Genomic DNA, 24,593 nt, shown 5'->3' on the forward strand with positions numbered 1-24,593 from the left:
GGCAGGGTCTTGCTCTGTCACCCAGGCTAGAATGCATGCAGTGATGCTATTGTGATTTACTACAGCATTGGCCTCTTGGGTTCAAGCGATCCTCTTGCCTCCCAAGTAGCTAGGACTGCAGGCCTGTGCCACCACACCCAACCAATGTTTCAATTTTTTTGTTGAAACAAAGTTTCACTGTGTTGCCCAGGCTGGTCTCAAACTCCTGAGCTCAAGTGATCTGCCCACCTCAGCCTTTCTAAGTGCTGGGATTACAGGAATGAGCCACCATGCCTGGCCTGAGATTATCTATATTAATAGTAGTTATCTTAGCAGCAGAATTACAGGTGACTTTAATTTTCATCCTTTTTCCTTTGGAGTTCTCTATTATATAAATTTTCTACAGTGAACATATGCCACTTATGTGATTAAAAATATTAAATGGTTTAGAGAAAGGTTTTATGGAAGAGACAGCATTTGGGATAGGACTTGAAAGATGGGTGACTTTTTAACTTGTTCAGATACGAGAAAATATTAAAGATAATAGGATTTATGATTAAAGCTAAATAAGATGAGAAAGTTTAGGCAAGTTGGAAGAAAAACCATCTAGTTAGGTTAGAGCATAGGATAGCCATAGGAAAGTAGTGGAAAATAAAGAGGTTGGGAAATTGAATTGAGACCTTGCACATCAAATGGGGTGATTACATTTAACACATTGAGTGGCTCACACCTGTAATCTCAGCACTTTGGGAGGCCGAGGCGGGTGGATCATGAGATCAGAAGTTCGAGACCAGCCCAGCCAATATGGTGAAACCCCGTCTCTACTAAAAATACAAAAATTAGCCGGGTGTGGTGGCTCACACCTGTAATCCCAGCCACTAAGGAGGCTGAGGTTGAACCCAGGAGGTAGAGGTTGAACCCAGGAGGCAGAGGTTGCAGTGAGCCTAGATCACACCACTGCACTCCAGCCTGAGCGATGGAGTGAGACTCTGTCTCAAAAAAAAAAAAAAGGAGCGGGGGGAGTAACAACAACAAAGACAGAGGTGTGCAGCAACACCACTTTCATGTAGTCAGAGAATTTGGTTATCCAGTATATTCCTGAGCACTTAGTTCAGTCAACACTTGGTGCTATACTTGATATGTCCCCAAAAGCAGTCAAAATGACATAAGGGAAGTTATCAGAAAGAGGGAGTTCAACCTCAAGGGAAATACAATGACATAAGGCAAATGTAGTGAAAAGTATCAAACTGTCACTAAGTAAAATATTTTCAAAGATGTGAATACTCACCACCTACATTGTTTCACAATAATATCCTCAATAAGCCTGTGTGACTTTAAATACTTACACCCAGGAGATGCACAGGGGAAAGATCACTAAATAACAAGATGCCTACCAATGCCATGAGGCAGGTGGACTGTTTGAAACACACACCAGTTACATCCATGGCTGTCAATGGAGAAAGATGAGTCCCAAGGGCACTAAAGGGATGTCTGGATATCAGAGTCACACTGCTGCTGTTTTAAATACTTTCCGAATCCAATCCAGAAAATTGGCGCTCTTTAACACTTTCTGCAGTAAATGGTTAAACTAATAGAAGTTCCCCCATCACTAAGAAAGTGAAAGGCAATAAAATATACCAAATCATCCATACCATGATACTTCATCCCCAGTAATTGTATATTGGCCTTAAACAATTCAAAAAAATCCAACCCAATAACTACTTAATAAATAGTGCCCATGTGGGGAGTAACTGGCCAGCCACTGTACTAGTTTTTTTATAGTCCTTTTTGTCTTTAATCCCCTCAACAGTCTTTCATGAAAGGTATCATCACCCCCATTTCATGGAAAAAATGGAATGTGGCTCAAAGAACTTAATTTACCTTGCTATTCACACAACAAACAGGTTGTAAAGTTGGTATTCAGGTCTTGGGTTGAGAGCCAGCAACTCCCACTGGGCACCACGGCCCAATGCCTGCTACCTGACCCAAAGCCAGCATCTTGAAAATGTCATTAACATTGCTCTCCTGTGCCAATACCAAGACCAGAGTAATTATAAGAAACCCTCAGGACTCATTTCAGACCAACAACTGATCCCTCTAGCTGATCAGAATAATAACACCACAGCAAACCTCAAAACCAATACAAGTTTCTAAAGAAAGAGCTGTGATATTTTTTTGTGGCCAGCCTCTTTCTTTGCCTGAATTGCTAGCAAAATGAAAAATTGGACAGAATAATAATTATGTCTTTCATTAGTTTGGGGATCTGATAAACGGATTCTTTTTTATAACATCAGGAACAAGAAGTTTAAGTCTTCAAATATAATGTCTATATATTTTAAATATCTGGAATTCTCTTGAAAAATCTCAAGAATGAAATTTCCATTTAAACTAGCTATATAACATAAAATGCTACTGATTTAAGCCAAATGAGAAACTGAGCAAGAGACCTTTTTGCTGTCTTTAAAGAACAAAATTCTTTAGAAAATAGAAGCAATGCTCTAAGAATAGAAAGAACATTTTTCTCCCTGAATACCCCACCTCTTCCTAACAAGACTACACTTTTATATCCACTACACTTTTATCTTACATACACTACACTTTCATCTTACATCCACAGGCAGGTTCCCTTTTTCTCCCCAAAGAAAAGGCAGGGACATATCTGGTAAAAACTATCCCAACATCTCTGAATATTACATCATATGCAGAATAAGAAAAAAAATTACTAGAAAAATTTTTTCCATAATCTTGCCAGAAAACAACAGAGGCAACCAAGAAGAAGCTAACAAATCCTCTCACCGCTCCCCAGAGCCATTCTATAGAAAGGAGGGCAGCTGAATAGCAGGAATGGAACAAGGGAGAGAGGTCTAATGACCAAGGGTCTGGATGGCTCATTCGCCCACCCACTCAACACTTACCAAGCCTCCACTGTGGACTAGGCATCAGAAATATGGGAACCGATGACAGCTGAGACCAGCTTTCTCTATTAAACATTTCCATAGCACACCGTATTTTTTCTTTATAGCACTCAACATACTTCTGTCTTTTCAGCTACATCTTAAAAGACTTGTTTATGGGAGTGTAAAATTATGTACCTGCTATGGAAAACAGTTATGGTGGTTCCTCAAAAAATTAAAAATAGAATCACCATGTGATCCACAATTCCACTTCTGGGAACATACCCAAAATAACTGAAAGCATGGCCTTGAAGAGACATTTGTACAACCTCAGTCACAGTAGCACTACTCATAATAGTCAAGGGGTCAAGCAACTCCCGTGTTTATTGACAGATGAATGGATAAGCAAAATGCAATCTATACATATGGCAAAAAGCACAATTACTTTTGTACTAACCTAATACAATGGAACATTATTTAGCCTTAAAAAGGAAGGCAGTTCTGGCACATGCTACAACCCCAATGAACCTTGAAAACATTATGCAAAGTGAAATAAACTACACACAAAACAACAAAATAATGTGTGATTCCACTTACACGAGGTACCTAGATTAGGCAAATTCATAGAGACAGGAAGTAGATTAGAGGTTACCAGGAAGGAGTGGGGCAAGGGGAGTTATTGTTTAATGGGTACAGGATTTCTGTTTTGCAAAATGAAAAAGTTCTGGAGACTGAATGCACAACAATGTGAATGTACTTAACACTACTGAACTGTACACTTAAAAATGGTTACTTTGATAAATTTTATGGTAAGTGTATTTTTACCTCAATTAAAATTTTTAAAAATTAAAAAGAGACTTCTTTATCCTTCCACATTTATTATTTAAGCACAGGACGTTGCACATAGAAGATGCTTAATAAATATTTATTGGATGGATGAATAGATGAACAGACAGACAGATGGAGAGAAAGATGGATGGGGATGTGAACAGAAATGAAATGTACATATAAGCTGATAATTACTAGATCATGGGAACATAGAGAAACGATCCCTGTGAATATGAAGAAGTGAAGGTTTCTTATTATGGTTGAATTTGACATAATATTTATCATGTAGAATTACTTTGTTTTACTGTTTTACCCACCAACACCACAAAAAAATTTTAGTATAAATCTGGTACTGTCTAGTTAATAATTTTTATTTTTTTAGTCTTATTTCTCTTCCGCTACTTATACTACAGTATAATCTGTCTTCTGAGCTAGATGACATTAAAACAAAAAAAAAATCCATTTTCTGTCACCTTTGCTCTTTCCAGCACCTCTCTTAATCCAAAAGGGTAATGTGAAAGAAAGCTTACACTTAACACTGCAGAAGACAGATAGAAGCAAGCATGAGTTGGTGGCCCACAGGTTATTAATCAGCTGGCCTCTGGGGCATAGTGTTATGAAGCTGCATCATGTAATAAACAGCAGGCAAAAAGAATAATCTCCATTTTCTGACTCTGAAGTGCAGGCATGTGCTATAAAACTAAATTGACATCTGTTAGCAGGCTTGTCACATGGGTGGTTTTTTCCTGCAGAATCTGGAATAAATTAAATCTTAAAATAAAACTGGGAACAGAGAGGCTGCTTTACATAATTCCTTCTAATAGTGTGCTGTGAACCCATCATGGTGATTTTAAAGAGAAGTTCTTGTAAGAAATGTTTCATTATCATTTCAACTGCAAAACTGTTGAATGCCACTCCATGCTAGGAAATTTGTGTTTTTTAAAAGGTGCTTATGTTTTTAACTAAAAACGGGGAAATGAAACCTTCCTTTCCTGATATTTTCACTGGCTGGAAAATAAATCAGGTTTTACCTCCGAATGAAACTATGATCGCCTTTTCCCAAGCACCTAGAGCCTGTTTCATGGGTGTGTCTGTTATGCTTGGGTACATATGAAACTGGCACTGCTGAGCTCCCAAGGCAGAAATGGCCAGCATGGGTGTGACCTGGAAGGATTTGCTCAGGAATACACTTTCCCTCAGATAATTCACTAATATGATAGCAGGTTCTCATGCCCTTCCTGTCAAAAGGCATTAGCTGTTTTTTTAACACTCATAAAGGAATTGCAGAGTGGCATGACCTTGCAAATCTGAGCTGTGCTCACTGAACGTAACATTCCTCTACAGACCCATTGTCTCCTTTAGGAAAGGAAGTCACACAAAGGGAAACGCAGGTAACTACATGGGCTTACAGCCCTCTGCTCCCTCAAGAGGCACTTGGTTCTCATTCCCCAAACTTCTTGAAAATGGCAAGATTCTCAGACAAGTACACCCACTTCTTGTACACAGCAACAAAGAAAAATGCCAGCTCCCTGGGGGCTGATTCCTTCCATATGTGAAATCTTCCTCTTTTGTAATAATACCGGGCCCTTTGAAAAATCTCAAAGAAGCCATAGTCAGTCATCATTCTCCATAAAATCACAAATCTGGTCTCATGAAAATTCCTTGCTCCTTTCTCTCACTAACACGTGCTCGTTTGCTTCCACAACATTCTCCAGTGGCAAGGGTTCATATCATGCACCTTACAATAGGAGAAACTGAGGAATGGGGAACTCATCGACTGGGTGGGGAGAGAGAGGGGATGCTGCAGAAACTGACAGCCAGGCTCCTGACCCCCGTCTTGTTTCAAGGGCTTTATGCACAAAAGAGGGTGCGGGATTTGCAAAGGGAAGGCTGAGCCATTTAAGTCCTTTCTACGCACAGAGGTTCCTCAAAGGGATGATCTTCACATCACCTGGGTTAGAGATGGGTGGGGTTGGTTAAAAATGCAGGCTCCTGGGCTCTATCTCAGAACAACTAAATCACAATCTCTGGGGTTGGTCCTGCCTGAGTGACATTTTAATCAAGCTCCCTTTGTGGTGGAATTCTTTGCTTATGGTGTGTTGTTGATACTGTTTTGGTTTGTTGTCCAGCGTCCCCCATTCTAACATGAGAGTCTAAGCCGCACACAGTCGTACAGCTGGGAGTGGTCTCCAGATTCCAGAACACCATGTACATACAACCTTGCCATTCATGGCTTCTGCCCAGGGAAAATGGAAGGTAGAACACCTCAAAGAAAACATCACCACAGCTGTGATAGTTAATACTGAATGTCAACTCAATGTCGAATTGATCCTGGGTGTGTCTGTGAGGGTGCTGCCAAAGGAGATTAACATTTGAGTCAGTGGGCTGGGAAAGGCAGACCCACCCTTAATCCGAGTGGGCACAATCAGCTGCCAGCAAAGCTAGAATGTAAGCAGGAAGAAAAACGTGAAAAGGAGAGACTGGCCTAGCCGGATGCTTCATGCGCTTGAACGTCAGACTCCAAGTTCTTCAGTTTTGGAACTCCGACTGGCTCTCCTTGCTCCTCAGCCTGCAGATGGCCTATAGTGGGACCTTGTGATCTTGTGAGTTAATACTTAATAAGCTTCCCTTTATATATATGTATCTATTCCATTGGCTCTGTCCCTCTGGAGAACTCTAATACAACAGCTAAATCCAGATGTAGTTAATTCTGTCATCAGATGGGCTTTCTACTCTATTGCAGCTCCATGTTAGTTAAACACTGAATGGTTTGAAAAATATTCAGAAGAGCCAAGACATTTTGCTACACCTCAAATCTCACCTTTATGGATGAATTTTGGCAAAAACAAAAACAAAAACAACAAACATTTCCTAAATGTTGAGTTCGGAAGTTCTTGACTCATTTTCCCAAGATGGCTTGTCCTTAGGGTCCACTGCAGATTGACGGAGACCGACAGATGTCTCTGCATTTCAAATTGCAATTCAGCACCATGAATGACTCATTACTGCTAAATTGCCACTGGCTTATTTCACAGAAACACAGCACCTTCCTGATTAAATCACAATTCTGCACGATGAAATTGCCTTCAAATACACAGAAAGATAGACACCTCTCTTTGAAAAAGGAATTTAAACAAATTTAGATAGAAATTGCCCTGGGACCTGAAAGAATCACCTGGACTTCCACCTTTACCACAGCATATCTGGTTTTCGGTAAGGTTTCCTGCCCAAGCATTCTGAAACATCAGGAGCTAAGGTCTCTGGACGTTCAAGGCTGCTGCTGGTTAACTCTAGGGTAGACTGTGCCCAAAGATAAGGTATTCAAATTTTCATGCCTTGTACGTTTTGTTTAGCAAGGTGCTGGAGAAAAAGGCCAACATGTATCCTGTATAGTTCCAGAGTGCCTGCTAGGTACTTGGAATGGGAATCCGTACAATAAGGGGTCTCTGCCTGTGAGGCACACAGCTCACCTAGGAACACAGAACTCAGAAGCAAGGCTCCAGCTTGAGGATAAATCATTATCTAAGACTCAGGCATGCCTGGACCTTGACCTGGTGTGGCAGACCAGCAGGGAACACTTTTATAAAGGAGCTTCCCTCCTGAGAAAAAATGTGTTCCGGTACAACAGCTAGTACAGAAATCAGATACGATAGGCTGCATGGGAATAAAAACAATGAAACTATGACAGTGTCTGTCCTTCACACCAGGGTCTCAGGCTGAAGGCAGAAGACATCAACAGGGCACAGAGTAGCCCAGTGCTTGTGCTCTGCAGGGACTGCGTTCAAGTCTCAGCACTGCCCATGACTATGAAGCCATAGTCATGGGCAATGTGTTTCTCCTCTGGTCCTGTTTCTCCAAGAGTGGTACACACCTTGTTACTCAAAGTACAGCTTCCCAGCCAGCACTATCAGCATCATCTTGGAGCTTACTAGAAATACAGAACCTCAGGTCTTACCCCAGACCTCCGGAATCACTACTTGCATGTTAATTACATTCCCAAGGTGGTTCACATATACATTACATTTGAGAAATAATGGTGTTGAATATGATTTGGAGGCAACATTTCAAAATCTTTCATTTGTTAGGTATTTTAAAAATGTAACAAACAAACCTACGACAACTGGCTCACAAGTCTATGGACATTATTTGTTCAGATAATTCTAAGTAAGAAAGGTGACTCTATTTAAAGTTGATTTAAAGAAAAAGATGAAGGTGAGATGCACCCCTTTCCCCCATGCCAAACACAAAGCAAAAATAGGGAGAACTATTTGAGAGGGAGAGAGAGAGAAAAAGAAACAAAAAGGACACAGCAGAGCTCAAAACCAAGATGAACATCTCCATGAATGAACACAGGGCGGTGAGCAGGATGGCAGGCCGGAAATGGTGGGCTTCCATCTTAAAGTAGGTGGCAGTGGTGCTGGGTGTGCATCTCCTACAGGACATAGGAACTCAAGGTGCTCCCCTGAGAGAGCAGCCAGAGCCCATTCATTGTTTAAAGCCAGGGGCGGGAGTGGAACTCCTTGGCTGCAGAAAGGAGACTGAAATAAACTAACAACCACTGGCTGGAGCTATAGCATAAAACTAGCTGCTGGCCTAAGAAGATGGGAGGAGAGTGACACACTCTAGCAAATAGCAAATGAGCTGGACCTCTGATGGTTCAGTGTCTGAATAGTCCACATACTACTGGGAAGAGTAAGAGCCAAATGCTTCTAGAAGACCAGGTCCTGAAGGTTACTGCAAAGTCACTAGGCAGAGAAGGGCAAGCCAAAAAGAAAGAGAAAAGCAAAACCAAACCAAAAACCTTCTACTGAAAATACACCAGTAAACCAAAATTCCAAAATACACACTGAAGTCAAAGGCTAAGAGAAACAGTCAACCAATGCAATAATTAGAATGTTACTTCATTCCAAGACTAATTTTATTGAAAAATCTGACAAAAGTTTAAAATAAGTATGTTTAGGATGCTCAGCTCAATCAAGAAGAATATCAGCTTTCACAAACATGCAAGCAGTGGCAACACACTTTTAAATAAAAGCATGCAAAACTAGAAAAGAACAGATGGATAGGAAAAATACCAATTAGAAACCTTGGAAGTGAAAAATATAGTCTTTTTTTTTTGTAAAAATACCAATAAATGGTATAAACTCTAGCCTGGATATAGTTAAAAAGAAAATTAAAGAATTGGAAGCTAGTAGTGAGGAATTTACCCTAACATAGGTCAGAGTGAATGAAAAAGCAATGAAGAGACAAGAAGGATAGACTTAGAGGCTCCAAAATACATCTAAAAAGAACTCCAAAAGTAGAGAATTAAAAAATGGATAAGAAAACATGGAAAATATTTTAACTGTTTGAATATTAACAAGGTACAAAATTCAAAAGATATAGAGTACAGAGTTTCTTCCTCAGCCATCTAGTTCTTCTCCCTGGAGCTTCCCAGCATCACTAGTTTCTTGCATATAATTTCAAAAACAATTATGTGAGTGGTAGAATGGTGGAAATCTACACACACTCTTCTGCAATTTGCTTTTATTGAAATATAATTTATATACAAGGAAATTCGTACAGTTTAAGGATATTGGTCAATTACTTTTTTTTCTGACAGGGTTTTGCTTTGTTGCCCAGGCTGGAGTGCAGTGGCTCAATTGATCCTCCTGCCTCAGCCTCCTGAGTAGCTGGGACTAAAGGTGTGTGTCACCACACCTGGCTAATTTTTATATTTTTTGTAGAGATGGGGTTTTGCCATGTTGTCCAGGCTGGTCTCAAATTCCTGGCCTCAAGAGATCCACCCCCCCTCAGCCTCCCAAAGTGCTGGGATTACAGGTGTAAGCCACCATGCCCAGCCAATTGACAACTTTTGACGAATGTATATACCCATGTAACCACCATAACGTACTCAAAATATAGAATGTTTCCATCACCCCAAAAAGTTCCTTTGTGATCTTTTCAATAAATCTCCAACTCTGCTCCCTCACCACCTGCCCTAGGCAACCACTGATCTGATTTCTATCACCATAGAATACTTCTGTCTATTCTAGAACTTTATTTAGAGAATCACATAACAGGTGGTTTTTTGAATCTGGCTTCCTTCATTCATCATAAAGTCTGTGAGACTCATTTGTGTAGTATGTGTCACAAAGCTTATTCCTTTTCATTGATCAGTGGTATTTCATCCTATATGGATGTGTGGTAGGTATATGGTATATTTAAGAGATATATCATACCATAACTTCTCTACCCATTCACATATTTACAGACATTTGAGTTGTTTCCAGTTGAGGTTATCATGAATATAGCTTCTATACACTTTCAGTTACAAGCCTTTGTGCAGACATATGTTTTCAGTTATCTTGGGTAAATATCTAGGAATGGGTTTACTGGATCAATTGGTAAATATATGTTTAACTTAAGAAATTGTCAACCTCTTTTCCTAAGAGGTTGCATTCCCACTACAAATGTTTGAGCTTTCCAGTTACTCCATATCCTTACCATCACTTAGTAACATCAATCTTTTAAATTTTAGCCATTTTGGTAGTTATGAAGTGATATCTCATTGTGGCTTTAATTTTCATTACCCTAATAACTAATCATATTCAGCATCTTTTCATATGTGTTTTTGCCATCTGTGTATCTTGTTTGGTGGGGTGCCAGTTTAACTCTTTTGTTTGTTAATTGAATTGTTTGTCTCCTCATTTGTGGTTGTGAGAGTTCTCTATGTATTCTGGATACAAGTCCTTTTCTGATATATTTGTGATGAATATTTTCTCCTAGTTTTTATGTTCTTCACAATGTCTTTTGATGAGCAGAGAGTTTTGATCTTTATAAAGTCCAATTTATCTTTTTAAAATTTTTTTATGGTTTATGCTAAGAAATATACTGTCTAAAAAATGTTTGCATATGTCAAGGTTGTAAAGATTTTCTCCTATGTTTTCTTCTAGAAGTTTTATAATTTTAGCTTTTATGTTTAGGTCTATGTTCCACTTCAAAACAATTTTCATGATGATGTGAGATTCAAGTCAGGTTTTACTTTTTTCCCATACAGATAACCAGTTGTTCCAGCACCATTTGTTGAAAAGACTATAATTTTTCCCATTGAATTATGTTGATGCCTTTATAAAAATCAATTAATTATATACGTGTTTCTCTTTTTTTTCTTCATTGCAGATTTTTAAAAAAAACTTCTATTTTCCTTTTAGGAGTACATGTGCAGGTTTGTTATATAGATAAACCTGTACCATGAGGGTTTGTTGTACAGATTATTTCGTCACCCAGGTATTAAGCCTAAAACCCATTAGTTATTTTTCTGATCCTCTCCCTCCTCCCACCCTCCACCCTCTGATAGGCCCCACTGTCTGTCGTTCCCCTCTATGGGTCCATATGTTCTCAGCATTTAGCTCCCACTTAAAAGTGACAACATGCAGTATTTGGTTTTCTGTTCCTGTGTTAGTTTGCTAAGGATAATGTATATATGTGTTTCCATCTCCAAATTCTCTTGTTGTTCCATTGATGTCTATCTTTATGTCAGTACCAGACTATCTTGATTGCTATCCCTTACATTGTCTTGAAATCAAGTAGCGTAAGCCTCTAACTTTGTTCTTTGTTTTCAAAACTGTTCAGCAATTGCTTTGCATTGTAAATTCTCTTTCTTAAAAATGTATCTCAGAAATTGTTCCACATCAGTACATAAAAATTTGTTTGTCGTTTTTTTAAGTGGTTTTGTAAGTTGTCCATGAAAAGATATACAATTCTCCATTTAACTACTTCCACAATGGTGGCTATGCAGATTGTTTTCTACCCTTTGCTATTACAAACAATGCTGCAAAAAACAATAACTTTATTCATATATCTGTTCACACATGTGGGATATGACTGGGGCAAACTCACAGAAGTAGAATTGCTGGATTTGCATTTGCAATGTGATAGATATTGCCAAACTGCCCTGCAGAAAGGCTGTAGCAATTTATATTCCTGCGACTTTTTATCTTTGATAATCTGATGAAAACATTGTATCTAACTATAGTTTTATTTGTCTTTCTCTTAATATGTCCAAGTTTTAATATTTTTTCATATAAGCCATCTGAATCTCCTTTTCTGTGAACTGTTTTTCATCAACTATTTCTTCATCCAATTTTCTATCAAGTTGTGGATCTTTTTTTTAATGATTTGTTGAAGCCCTTCTATACCGGTGAAATTAACTCTCTACTTATAAAATGAATTGTCAGTATTTTCGCAGTTTGTTATTTGTCTTTTAATTTTGTTTTTGGTAGTTTTACCATGTGGAAATTTTGTATGTAATCAAGTTAATTATTCTTTTCTTTTGTGACTTCCTAACTCCAGAATTTTTTTTTAAATCCCCATAGTTTTCTTTCTAATATTTTTATGGTCTTTAAAAAAACTTTATTGGTTTAAATTTTTTGGTAAAAGGCATCAAATAAAGCTGAAAAAACATTTTTAAAATAAATATCCATAATTTTACTGACACATCCATCTTTTCTCTATGATTTGAGATAGTGCCTTTATCATATATCAACTCTGGAGGTATGTGGATTTATTTCTGGAGTTTTAAAATCTGTCCATTAATCTGTTTATCTGTTCATGCAATAGTACCATTTTTATTATTATAGTTGTATAAGAAGATTTATTATCCCATTGGGTTAGTAAACCACCTTTATTACTCCTTTATCAGAATTTGATTGGTTATTTCTGCTTGTTAATTCAGTATGAACTCTAGAATCAGCTTCTTTAGTTCTGAAAAAAAAATCCTATTGGCAATTTTATTTGGAACATGTTAAATCAGTAGATTAACATAAGAAAGGGTTAATCATTATGATGGTGAGCATTTACATCGAAGCATGTACTATGCCTTTGAATTCGTTCAAGTTTTCCTTTAAGTCTTTGAGTGGCTAAGTTTTCTTCTTGTAGACCTTGCACATGTCTCATTAAGTTTATCTTTAGCTTTATTTTTGTTGCTTTTGTAAATAAACTTTGCTTCCTTTTTATATTCTAACTGGTTTTTATTCACAAAAGTGTAGTTAAAATTTTTTTGTATACTGTACTCAGACAACTCATTAAATTTACTTATTGTTTGATAGTTTTTCATTAGATTATCTTGAGTTTTCTAGTATACCATCATATTGTCTTCAATTAATATGTCCTTCAATAATAATAATATCTGCAAATAATAAAATTTTTACCTCTTTCTTAATTTATACTCCTAAATTTTTTTCTTATTGTATTAGCTGTTATCTTAAGAACTATATTAAATAACAATGGTGATTACACACTGTATGATTCTGTTTATAAACATTCTTAAAAATGACAAAATTATAGAAATAGAAAACAGATTAGTGGTTACCAGGGGTTAGGGAAGGAGGTAAGGGGAAGAAGGTAGGTGTTTTTATAAAAGGGAAACATGATCCTTAAAGTGCCAGAAATGTTCTGTATCTGGAATCTCTGTATCATTTCTTACAAGTGCATGTGAATCTATCTCAAAATGTGCAGTTTTTTTTTAAAGAGCTCTAATCTTTTTTTTTTAATGGTGATGATATAAATCCTTATTTTTCCCCGACTTTAATAAGGATATTTCCACTGTTTCCACATTAATTATGATGTCAGCTCTTGGACTGAGATACACTAAAATAAGAAGCAATTAATTCAACTATATCAGCAAAAACAATACATACAAATGGATTAAACTCACATACACAGATAGATTTATTATGGAAGTACTCATCCATTGCTTTCTATTGCATTTTTTATTTTTTTTATGTTGCAGAGATAAGTGTATGGTGAGAGAGAGTGAGAGAGAGAAAGCAAATGTGGCAAAATATTAACAAATGGTGAATTCCAGTGAAAAATATGTGACGGTTCATTATATTCCAGCAACATTGGCATTTGAAATTTTTTGAAAATAAAAATATGTAAAACTCCAGATAATAATAATGTGGGCACCCAGGTTGAATGGGTAGTTAACTTTTTATGATCCTTATCATGTTTAGAAGGAATATAGAAATACTGGATAATTTTATATATTAAAATTTTATAGTTAATTATATACTTTTTAAATCTAAAGGTAACCATGAAGAATAGAAATATAAGCTTTAGCAAAAAGAGGGGGGAATACTGCAGAAAACCAAAGGCCAAATTTAAGAGAGTAGAAGTTAGTCCCAATATGCCAGTAATCCCAATAAATATAAATATAAAAGCATTAAACACACCTATTTAAAGACATTATCAGGTTGGGTTTAAAAATACAATCCAGGCATATATTGAATGCACTGCTCTTATAAGCTATACATAAACTAAAACTATATCAAAATAATGGAAATAAAAGAATCTAGAATGTTATTTCACATAAATACTTATCAAAGGAGAGCTAGCATGGCAGAACTAACATCAGATAAAACAAAATTTAAGGCAAAAAATATTTCTAGGAATAAAAACTGACACACCATATACACATGGTCAAATTTTCTTCCTGAAAGAGTATATTATTTTCCATTTCCAGCAGCAAAGTGTATTATTCCCAACAAGCATTACAATACAGGGCAGTATCAATCTCTTGTTTATATTTACCAATTTGATAAGTAAAGAGAAAAACAAAAAGTGAGTCTTTAATTGCTTTTCTTTTTTTCTTTCTTTCTTTTTTTTTTTTTTTTTTTTTTTTTTGAGAGAGGGGTCTGGCTCTGTCACCCAAGCTGGAGTACAGTGGAGCAATCATGGCTCACTGCAGCCTCCACCTCCTGGACTCAGTCAATCCTCCTATGTCAGCCTCCCCAGTAGCTGGGACTACAGGCACATGTCACCATGCCCAGCTAATTTTTTAAATCTTATGCCCAGCTAATTTTTTAAATCTTTTGTAGAGATGGGATGTGCTATGTTGCCCCAGCTGTGTAATTTAATTTCAAAGCCCATATTCTCTCAAATGTAATCATAGTGACCACACAACAAAACTGATGTTCTGGAATCAATGGCGAGCTCCCAGCCAAGGGAGGCAGAAACTGGTAGTCCTGTGAGGGTTCAAGTGGACACTGAGCCTTGGCCTGGGTGGTGACAAGGGCAGGTGAAGGAAGACACAGTTCCCTGAGCTGACAGGCAGGGAGGCCAGCTCCCCCAGGGCGTCTGACCAGAGGGCCCCAGCCCCAAGGTCTACATCTGTTCTGTGTGGCATGAATCTCAATTAATTCTCAGCAGTTTATTTAATTTCTATACAGCACAGTATTTACTTTCTATACAATCACCCACAAGGCTGTTCAGCGCCTGGAGGCAGCAAACAATAGTTCTCTACAACCAAGTCTGAAGGACCAATTGCCTTTCAGTTTCACACAAAGCTCTCATTAAAAACTCTTGAGTGGAACTAGGTGGTTAGCAACTTCCAGAGAAATGTCTGATATATTTTCCCCGGGAAAGAAAAGAAAGAAAGAAAGGAAGGAAGGAAGGAAGGAAGGAAGGAAGGAAGGAAGGAAGGAAGGTTCTCTATAAAATGTACTAAAATTGTTAATAAAAACCCTTTGAGTTTACTGAAAACAATTGAGTGACTAATTCACACCAGGCATTCTGCTGGAGACTTTCACACTATGTTCTCAGACCTACTTCTCAAAAAAAACCCACAATTTAGAAAGTATCATTGTCCTCATTTAACTGACAATCAAATTGAGTGCCAGAGAGGTTAAATGACTCGCCCAACGCCAAAAGCCAATAAGAGGACCATGCTTCAAACCTAGATTAATGAGCTTACATAGAGAAACCCTCAGGCAGCTCTGTTATTCAGAGTTATCAGCAGCATGGTTAAGACCAAAAATAATAGCTATAATTCCTCATTAACTAGCTCGGATCATTGAGGATACTCTGAATGTAACAAAGTCTAAAGTAAGAAAGACTTTAGAAAAAAACTATACATTATGATTAATATGAGCAGAAACTTCAGATTCAATATTTCTAGTTGCATTCTGAAAAAACTGTATGCTTAGTTAACAATAACCACTTCTGCAAAGAGTAGACAGTTAATCATTTCACATAATGCTGGATCCAAGTGATATTACTCCCTGACAGACTGGGCTTCTAATCCACATGGTTTTGCTGATGCAGCTGCTCTAGCCTGATGCTTTAGAACAGGCTTTTGATTTATAGTTTGAGGTTAAAATTACCAAAGAGTTTTAAAAGCAGTACAAAAGCCATTTGCATCTTTCTGTCACTATCTCAGAATACTGCTTTCATTTTTGCCCATATTTTTTCTTGAGTGGCTGGAATCTACGTATGGATATACAGAATAGGAAAACTAACAGCGGAATAGGGAAATTACTACAAAACTATATGAGATATTTTAAAGTTCTGAAATAAAACAGCTAAAAACGCTTTGGTTTCTACACTCACTTTCAGAATAAATGAGTGAAGGTGTGAAGGCAGAAACGCTGACATTTGTTAGCGTGTTTTTTACTATTTGCTTCCCCTGCCGCAGCCACATCCTATTTACCACTGTCTGTACATACAGAAAAATGAAAACAGATCGTGCTTGCTACACGACACAAACAAGGTTTCCATTTATCTAGCCCCGCATAGCTCCTAGAAGCATTTTCCTAAGGAAAGCAATCACTCGCTGACGGGTTTAGTTTTGTTGTTTTTGTTTTAAAGCATTCACCAAAAAAAAATCTCTATGGAAGAATATCAATATCTTTTAAATTCTTCAACAAGGAATTAAAACAAAAAAGGAGCAAATGCATTCCTGGCAATTCTGTGCCAGATCACTTTCATTGTAAATATTTTTTTAAAAAATAAGTAACCTTAGAAACATAAGCATTTCTCCTTTCTAGGCATCATTGTAAATATTTCTGCTATCTCAGGAGCAGCATTGCAAAAGGTCTCATGCTTTATCCTTAGCATAAAAGTTGGCCCACTGCAGCTCCCATGGAGCTAAACAAACACAATTCAGGTACATACCTTGTTATCTAAAATTAGATAAATTATATCCGCAGATCACTTTTTCAAAGTCTTATTTTATCCTCACCTTTACCAAATCTTTTGCTACAGTATTATTGGGGAAAAAAATAAGCAAAATGGCATTGAGTTTCTCTTTTTCTCCTACTCAGTCTTTTCTTTGAAGAGTGGTGCTGGAGAGGGCTAGGATGTAAAGAGCATAAAGCAGGAACAGCAAGACTCCTAACTGAACACAAAGAATAAGTAGTTAACTCTTTGAATAATCTAAAGTTGACATATTAGAGAATTAGGCCTGTAATTCTCAGCTGTAAAAAACAGATCTACAAAGGTAACGAGTGGCAAAAAAGAAAAAAACAAAACCCTAAATAAAGTTCTGAAAAATGCTTCTGCTTCTTCCCACACATATGAAAAACATTAACAGCATGTAAAAAGGAGTTCTCTTCTGAGATTTTACCCAAAAATCCTATATGTGTCTCACTAAGGCTCCTGACTATTAAATGCCACCAGTTACCCTTGGTGGCAAAGCAAAATACAAATTAATAGTTAATTGCGTGTTAAAAGAACAGCAAATTCTTTGAAGTTGTTCTTGAAGAAGCATGGGCTATCTAAAGGTTGTTTAAAGGATGAAGAGGAGGAGGAGGAAGAAGAAGAGGGGGAGGAGGGACAAGGAAGAGGAAGATGAAGAAAGGAGGCAGAGAAAAGGGAGGAAGAGGGGAGGAGGAGGAGGAACGGCAATGCAGGGAAAAGCTTCTTACTGAAAATCAAGAAGCCAACTCAAGTTTAAAATTGAGTCTCAGGCACACTGTTTCTCAAACAGAAACACCCATTCTGACCTGTTCTAAATCACATGGCATCTCTGGCTGGGAACACAGGCCAAAATAGCCAAACCCAAGAAAGGCTGAAGATCAAACACAAGCCAACTGCACTCAGGAGAAATTCTCTAGTATCTGCCTACAGAATACAGTTAGCTCGGGTATACTACACTAAAAATTGCTTTCAAAGAACACAGTTCAAAGATTGTTTCTTTTTTGCTGTCCATTCATAATAAAATGTTTGCAGAGATTTGACATCCTTTGGTATAATTATATAATTTGTAATGTACATGTCCATTCAATTTTATAAAGTAAATCTTAATCAAAGCTATATATATTTTCTGTGTAGAGCCTAGACGTTCAAAATAGTGAGAAACATGTCACAACAGTGAGAAACATGATACACAAGCAATATCTTAGTAAACATAACCCCGATTTTTTTTTTTGTATTTGAGGTCAACATAAGTAGTTTGCTCTTTCTGGAAAGTGTAAGTCAGTTGCCAAATGAAAATGGTATTCTTCAGCCTGTGCCAGAAGTAAGTTTCTTAGTCTTCTTGCCTAGTCTTGGACAAGACCATTAACATTACTCAACAGCAACTAAAATCTTCACATCAACTTAAATATCTCTATCCTTGCCAACACTTTATGTCTAGAGTTGACTCTATAAATAATGTTGGGTGATTAGTAAGATTAAAATCGGACCTTCAGCTATCCAATGTCAATGTTGCTATTCTTGGTTTGCATTTTAAAAAGCTGATGGGTTTGTTTACTTTATTCAAGTATAAAATCAAATGAAAAACCTCACCTTGTGATGTCCAAATTCATTCAAAATGCTTCCCAGTTTTCTGGTGTTGCTATGTGGTTTTTGGGCAGCAACAGCTGGATGGGGATCCCGCCAGTCAATGGACAAGCGGTGATACCAAAGGTGCTGACTCTCCAGAATGTGAGCTGACTTGACACTAGGATCAAAACGATGCACTTCACATCCGTTGTTGGCCATGCTAACCTCAAAATGGGTATCATCACTTCCTAGCCTATAAAGAAAGAGGACGGAAATCAACAACAAAAAATGCAATGAAGCAAAGTGTTGGACTAACAAGATGACAGTTCCAAGGCCAAGGTTCTTAGTTATATCAAGCCTTCTCCTGTTTTAACCCATGGCTAATGTACACATTCAATAAACTTTCTTTCACAAAAAAGCATTATTGCTCAAAGCTTCTGGATAAAAGATAAATTATCTGCTAGACAAAGACCAGAGAATCACATACTCAAACATGTAGGCGCATCATCAAATTGTTTTTTTTTTAAGTGATGTAAATCACAGTAGCAATGAAACAAAGAAGACTATCCAGTAGTCTTAGATTTTCTTAGAATATGTCCACAAATATAAGCCCCAGGATTAGTTCTCTTGAGGAGAGATGTGTTCTACTAATGAGGTAATTTGTCTCCATTCTAATGGCCACAGTGTTGTGTATGCAATTTGACTTAAAGACAACAGCTGTTTTCTTAGAAATGTAATATATTTTTAAATAGTGCAAATAAGAAAAAAGGCAAATGTATGTGATTCTACTGCATCCAAAACTCAAGAAGCAGACGGTTTCCTCACCTAAATTCACATCAAAAGGGGAAGAAATTATGAATTAATTGTACTTAAGTACTCAATAGGTAGCACACCATACGGAAAATAATAAACTTCCAAATATTGAATTGACTCAGAAATATTCCCTATTTAATGGTGCAAGGATCGTCACTTTGATTAAAACACCAGTTTTAATGAAAAGCATGAAATTAACTGAGAATGATTTTTTTAATGGTGATTATGGCTTTTCTGCCCCAATACTGTACTCATATGTGATTTAGGATACCAAAATCCCACAGAGTAGCTACACTACTTGGCCGAACCTAAACCCAGTGCAGAAATACTTCATTCTCATAGATTCTACAAGTATTTTGTAAGTGGATGTTTTTCAATAAATACAGTGAGCCCTCCATAGCTGTGGGTTCCACGTCCACAAATTCAACCAACATGGATCAGAAATACAGCATTGATAGGATGCAGGAGCCTACTGATATGAAGGGCGAATGTTTTGTATCTGTGAGTTCCACACCCAGACTTGATAGTTCGTGGATTTTGGTATCCGTTGGTGGGGAGAGGGTGGCCTAGAACCAACCGCCAACCCCATACGGAGGGATGACTGACTATTGCATAATCTGGAAATACACAAGTTCAGTGGATAATAATTATTTACCTTATTTTAATTAACTAAAATAAGCCTTCAGTTCAGAGATCATCCACCGAGACATGCTTTTTTTTTTTTTTTTTAGATGGAGTCTGGCTCCATCACCCAGGCCGGAGCATAGTGGCGTGATCTCAGCTCACTGCAACCTCTGCCGCCAGGGTTCAAGCAATTCTCTTGCCTCAGCCTCCCAAGTAGCTGGGATTACAGGTGTGCCCCACCATGCCTGGCTAACTTTTGTACTTTTAGTAGAGACGGGGTTTCACCATGTTGCCCAGGCTGGTCTCGAACTCCTGACCTCAGGTGATCCACCCTCGTTGGCCTCCCAAAGTACTGGGATTACAGGCATGAGCCATGGCACCCCACCTAGACATTCTTAATACAGGCAGCCCTCTGTATCCACAGATCTGATCCACAAATTCAACCAACCGCAGATTGAAAATATTCGAAAAAACAAAAATAAAAAAATAATACAACATTAAAAATAGTAAAAATAAAAATCAATACAGTATAATCACTATTACATGGCATTTACATCGTATTAGGTATTATAAGTAATCTAGAAATGATTTAAATTATGCAGGAGGATGTGCATTGGTTATATACAGATACTACACCATTTTATATCCAGGACTTGAGCATCCTAAATTTTGGTCTTTGCAGTGGTCCTGCAACCAACCTCCACAGGTGCTGAGGGGTGATTATAGTCTTATTTGCCTCTTCCTCACCCTTCACCCAACTACACTGCTCTTTTTCCGACTGCATCCCATGGTAAGTCAGCCCTCTGATGTCCCTCCGCCATAGCTTTTCCAACACTTTTTGCCTGGAGAAAATTCAGCACTCCTCTCACAAGCACTTCCATTTCTTCCACCTAACAGTTCCTATTCCCTATTTTCTACCACCTACTGAATCCACACAGCTCAGACCACTGAAGTCTCTACCCCAGTTTTCCATGATCTAATCTGGTGTGGCAGATTGACTTGTCGACTCTGCTCCTTCAACCCTGCACCATCCACACTACTCCATGCTCATGATGAGAAAGAGTCCTTCCCTGCCCCTTGACTTTTTGGCTTGGCCATGTGCCTTGCTTTATGGAAGGAAGTGGGAGTGTGCCAGTCCAGATCCTAGGCCTTCAGTGCTTCTGTTCTCTCTCTTACACTGTCATCATGATAAAAACGTGCCCTCGAGAATTTGCACTCCAGCCAGTCCACCGGCCCTCTGTAAAATACAGAACCTCCCTTAGCCATCTCAGCCTGAAGTAAAGAAAGCCTCACAGCTAAGCCCATCCTGGATCAACTGAAGCCCAGCTGACCTGCAGACATACAAGCAACAGTAAAGACATACAAGCAACAGTAAATAACGGTGATTGTTAAGCCACTGAGTTTTAGAGTGATTACACAACCAATAGCTAACTGATATACCTGGCATTAAATATAAATTCAAGAGTTGCAGTTGAAACTACAAAGCATTTTTTTAGTAGATAGATTTGCTTTTATATAGATCAGAATATTGTAGAACTCACCTATCCAAAAGGAATTTTCACTTAATTAAATTTGTCAAAACTTAGATGAACAAAGCAGTGTTATTTTAGGTCACCAGCAGAAAAGGGCAATTTTATATTTTCATTAAGAGAACGTTATGGCTGCATGCGGTGGCTCACACCTGTAATCCCAGCACTTTAGGAGGCCGAGGTGGGCAGATCACGAGGTCAGGAGATCGAGATTATCCTGGCTAACACAGTGAAACCCCATCTCTACTAAAAAAATACAAAAACATTAGCCAGGCGTGGTGGTGGGCGCCTGTAGTCCTAGCTACTCGGGAAGCTGAGGCAGGAGAATGGCATGAACCCAGGAGACAGAGCTTGCAGTGAGCCGAGATCGTGCCACTGCACTCCAGCCTGGGTGACAGAGTGAGACTCCATCAAAAAAAAAAAGAGAACATTATGTCAAAAAAAGTACTCATTACATATAATTTGTATATAAATCTAGAGTGAAATATGTGAATAATTTCTTCCTCTGAATTGTCAGAATGTTGTTTTCAAGGAACAATATTGAGGTATATATACACATATACACACACATATGTGTATATATACACATATACACACATATGTGTATATATACACATATACACACATATGTGTATATATACACATATACACACACATATGTGTATATATACACATATACACACACATATGTGTATATATACACACATACACACACATATGTGTATATATACACATATACACACACATATGTGTATATATATACACATATACACACACATATGTGTATATATATACACATATACACACACATACACGTGTGTATATATATACACATATATGCCTCAAAAAAGGTAATTAAATTAGCCACATACAATTCTGTAACTGTTTAAGACACTTTATTATATATTCATATGTTTTCTATTTAAACTAGTTGCTTATAATTAAACAAATACACATAGAAATACTCAAGTTGTAAGAAGTATGTAAATTGAAAAGAGTTTCTGGCAAGATATGGCTGAATAGAAAGAGCTCTGGTCTACAGCTCCCAGCAAGACCAATGCAGAAGGTGGGCAATTTCTGCATGTCCAACTGAGGTACCCGGCTCATCTCATTGGGACTGGTTAGACAGTGGGTGCATCCCACAGAGGGCGAGCAGAAGTAGGGTGGGGCGTCGCTTCACCCAGGAAGCACAGGGGGTCGGGAAATCCCTCCCCTAGTCAAGGGAAGCCATGAGGGACCCTGCCATGAGGGATGGTGCATTCCAGCCCGGATACTACGCTTTTCCCATGGTCTTCATAACCCACAGACCAGGAGATTCCCTCGGGTGCCTACACCACCAGAGCCCTGGGTTTCAAGCACAAAATTGGGCAGCCATTTGGGCAGACACTGAGCTAGCTGCAGGAGTTTTTTTTTTCATACCCCAGTGGTGCCTGGAATGCCAGCAAGAGAGAACCATTCACTCCCCTGGAAAAGGGGCTGAAGCCAGGGAGACAAGTGGTCTTGCTCAGCAGATCCCACCCCCAAGGAGCCCAGCAAGCTAAGATCCACTGGCTTGAAATTCTCGCTGCTAGCACAGCAGTCTGAAGTTGACCTGGGATGCTCAAGCTTGGTGTGGGGAGGGGCGTCTGCCATTACTGAGGCTTAAGTAGGCGGTTTTCCCCTCACAGTGTAAACAAAGCCTCTGGGAAGTTTGGACTGGGCAGAGCCCACCACGGCGCCTCAAAGCTGCTGTAGCCAGACTGCCTCTCTAGATTCCTCCTCTCTGGGCAGGGCATCCCTGAAAGAAATGCAGCAACCCCACTCAGGGGCTTATAGACAAAACTTCCATCTCCCTGGGTCAGAGCACCTGGGGGAAGGGGCGGCTGCGGGTGCAGCTTCAGCAGACTTAAACATTCCTGCCTACTGGCTCCGAAGACAGCAGTGGATCTCCCAGTACAACACTCGAGCTCTGCTAAGGTACAGACTGCCTCTGCAAGTGGGTACCTGACCCCCATGCCTCCTGACGGGGAGACACCTCCCAGCAGGGGTCGACAGACACCTCATACAGGAGAGCTCCAGCTGGCATCTGGCAGGTGCCCCTCTGGGACAAATCTTCTAGAGGAAGGAGCAGGCAGCAATCTTTGCTGTTCTGCAACCTTTTCTGGTGATACCCAGGCAAACAGGGTCTGGAGTAGACCCCCAGCAAACTCCAGTAGACCTGCAGAAGAGGGGCCTGACTGTTAGAAAAAAAACTAACAAACAGAAAGCAATAGAATCAACATCAACAAAAAGGAAGACCGGGCAAAAACTCCATCTGAAGGCCACCAACAGCAAAGACCAAAGGTAGATAAATCCATGAAGATGAGGAAAAACCAGCGCAAAAAGGCTGAAAATTCCAAAAACCAGAACACCTCTTCTCCTCCAAAGGATCACCACTCCTCGCCAGAAAGGAAACAAAACTGGATGGAGAATGAATTTGACAAACTGACAGAAGTAGGCTTCAGAAGGTGGGTAATAACAAACTCCTGTGAGCTAAAGGAGCATGTTCTAACCCAATGCAAGGAAGCTAAGAACCTTGATAAAAGGTTAGAAGAATTGCTAACTAAAATAACTAGTTTAGAGAAGAACATGAATAACCTGATGGAACTGAAAAACACAGCACGAGAACTTCATGAACCATACACAAATATCAATAGCTGAATCAATCAAGTGGAAGAAAGGATATCAGAGATTGAAGATCGACTTAATGAAATAAAGTGTGAAGACAAGATTAGAGAAAAGAGAATGAAAAGGAACGAACAAAGCCTCCAAGAAATATGGGACTATGTGAAAAGACCAAACCTATAATTGATTGGTGTATCTGAAAGTGACGAGGAGAATGGAAAACACTTCAGGATATTATCCAGGAGAACTTCCCCAACATAGCAAGACAGGCTAACATCCAAATTCAGAAAATACAGAGAACACCACAAAGATACTCTTTGAGAAGAGCAACGCCAAGACACATAATCATCAGATTCACCAAGGTTGAAACAAAAGAAAAAAATGTTAAAGGAAGCCAGAGAGAAAGGTCAGGTTACCCACAAAGGGAAGCCCATCAGACTAACAGCAGATCTCTCTCTGCAGAAACCCTACAAGCTAGAAGACAGTGGGGGCCAATACTCAACATTTTTAAAGAAAATAATTTTAACCCAGAATTTCATGTCCAGCCAAACTAAGCTTCATAAGTGAAGGAGAATAAAATCCTTTACAGGCAAGGAAATACTGAGGTATTTTGTCTCTACCAGGCCTGCCCTACAAGAGCTCCTAAAGGAAGCATTAATTAAAATTAACTCAAGATGGGTTAAAGATTTAAATATAAGACCTAAAACCATAAAAACCCTAGAAGAAAACCTAGGTAATACCATTCAGGACATAGGCATGG

The 24,593-nt window shown here is 38.6% G+C and overlaps 1 protein-coding gene across 3 annotated transcripts in view; it reads right to left on the minus strand.

Annotated features, from left to right (window-relative positions):
- Nucleotides 1-24,593, minus strand: part of METTL24 (methyltransferase like 24) — a 114,410-nt gene that overhangs the window by 36,734 nt on the left and 53,083 nt on the right. For all 3 annotated transcript variants that reach the window (NM_001354594.2, NM_001123364.3, NM_001354595.2), the window contains one exon: nt 18,249-18,477. In NM_001354594.2, coding sequence (NP_001341523.1) covers nt 18,249-18,443 — 195 coding nt within the window. In that variant the 5' untranslated portion in view covers nt 18,444-18,477. The remainder of the gene's footprint in view (nt 1-18,248; nt 18,478-24,593) is intronic.

This window comes from Homo sapiens, chromosome 6 (genome assembly GCF_000001405.40).
Source record: "Homo sapiens chromosome 6, GRCh38.p14 Primary Assembly".
Taxonomy (NCBI): Eukaryota; Metazoa; Chordata; class Mammalia; order Primates; family Hominidae; genus Homo; species Homo sapiens.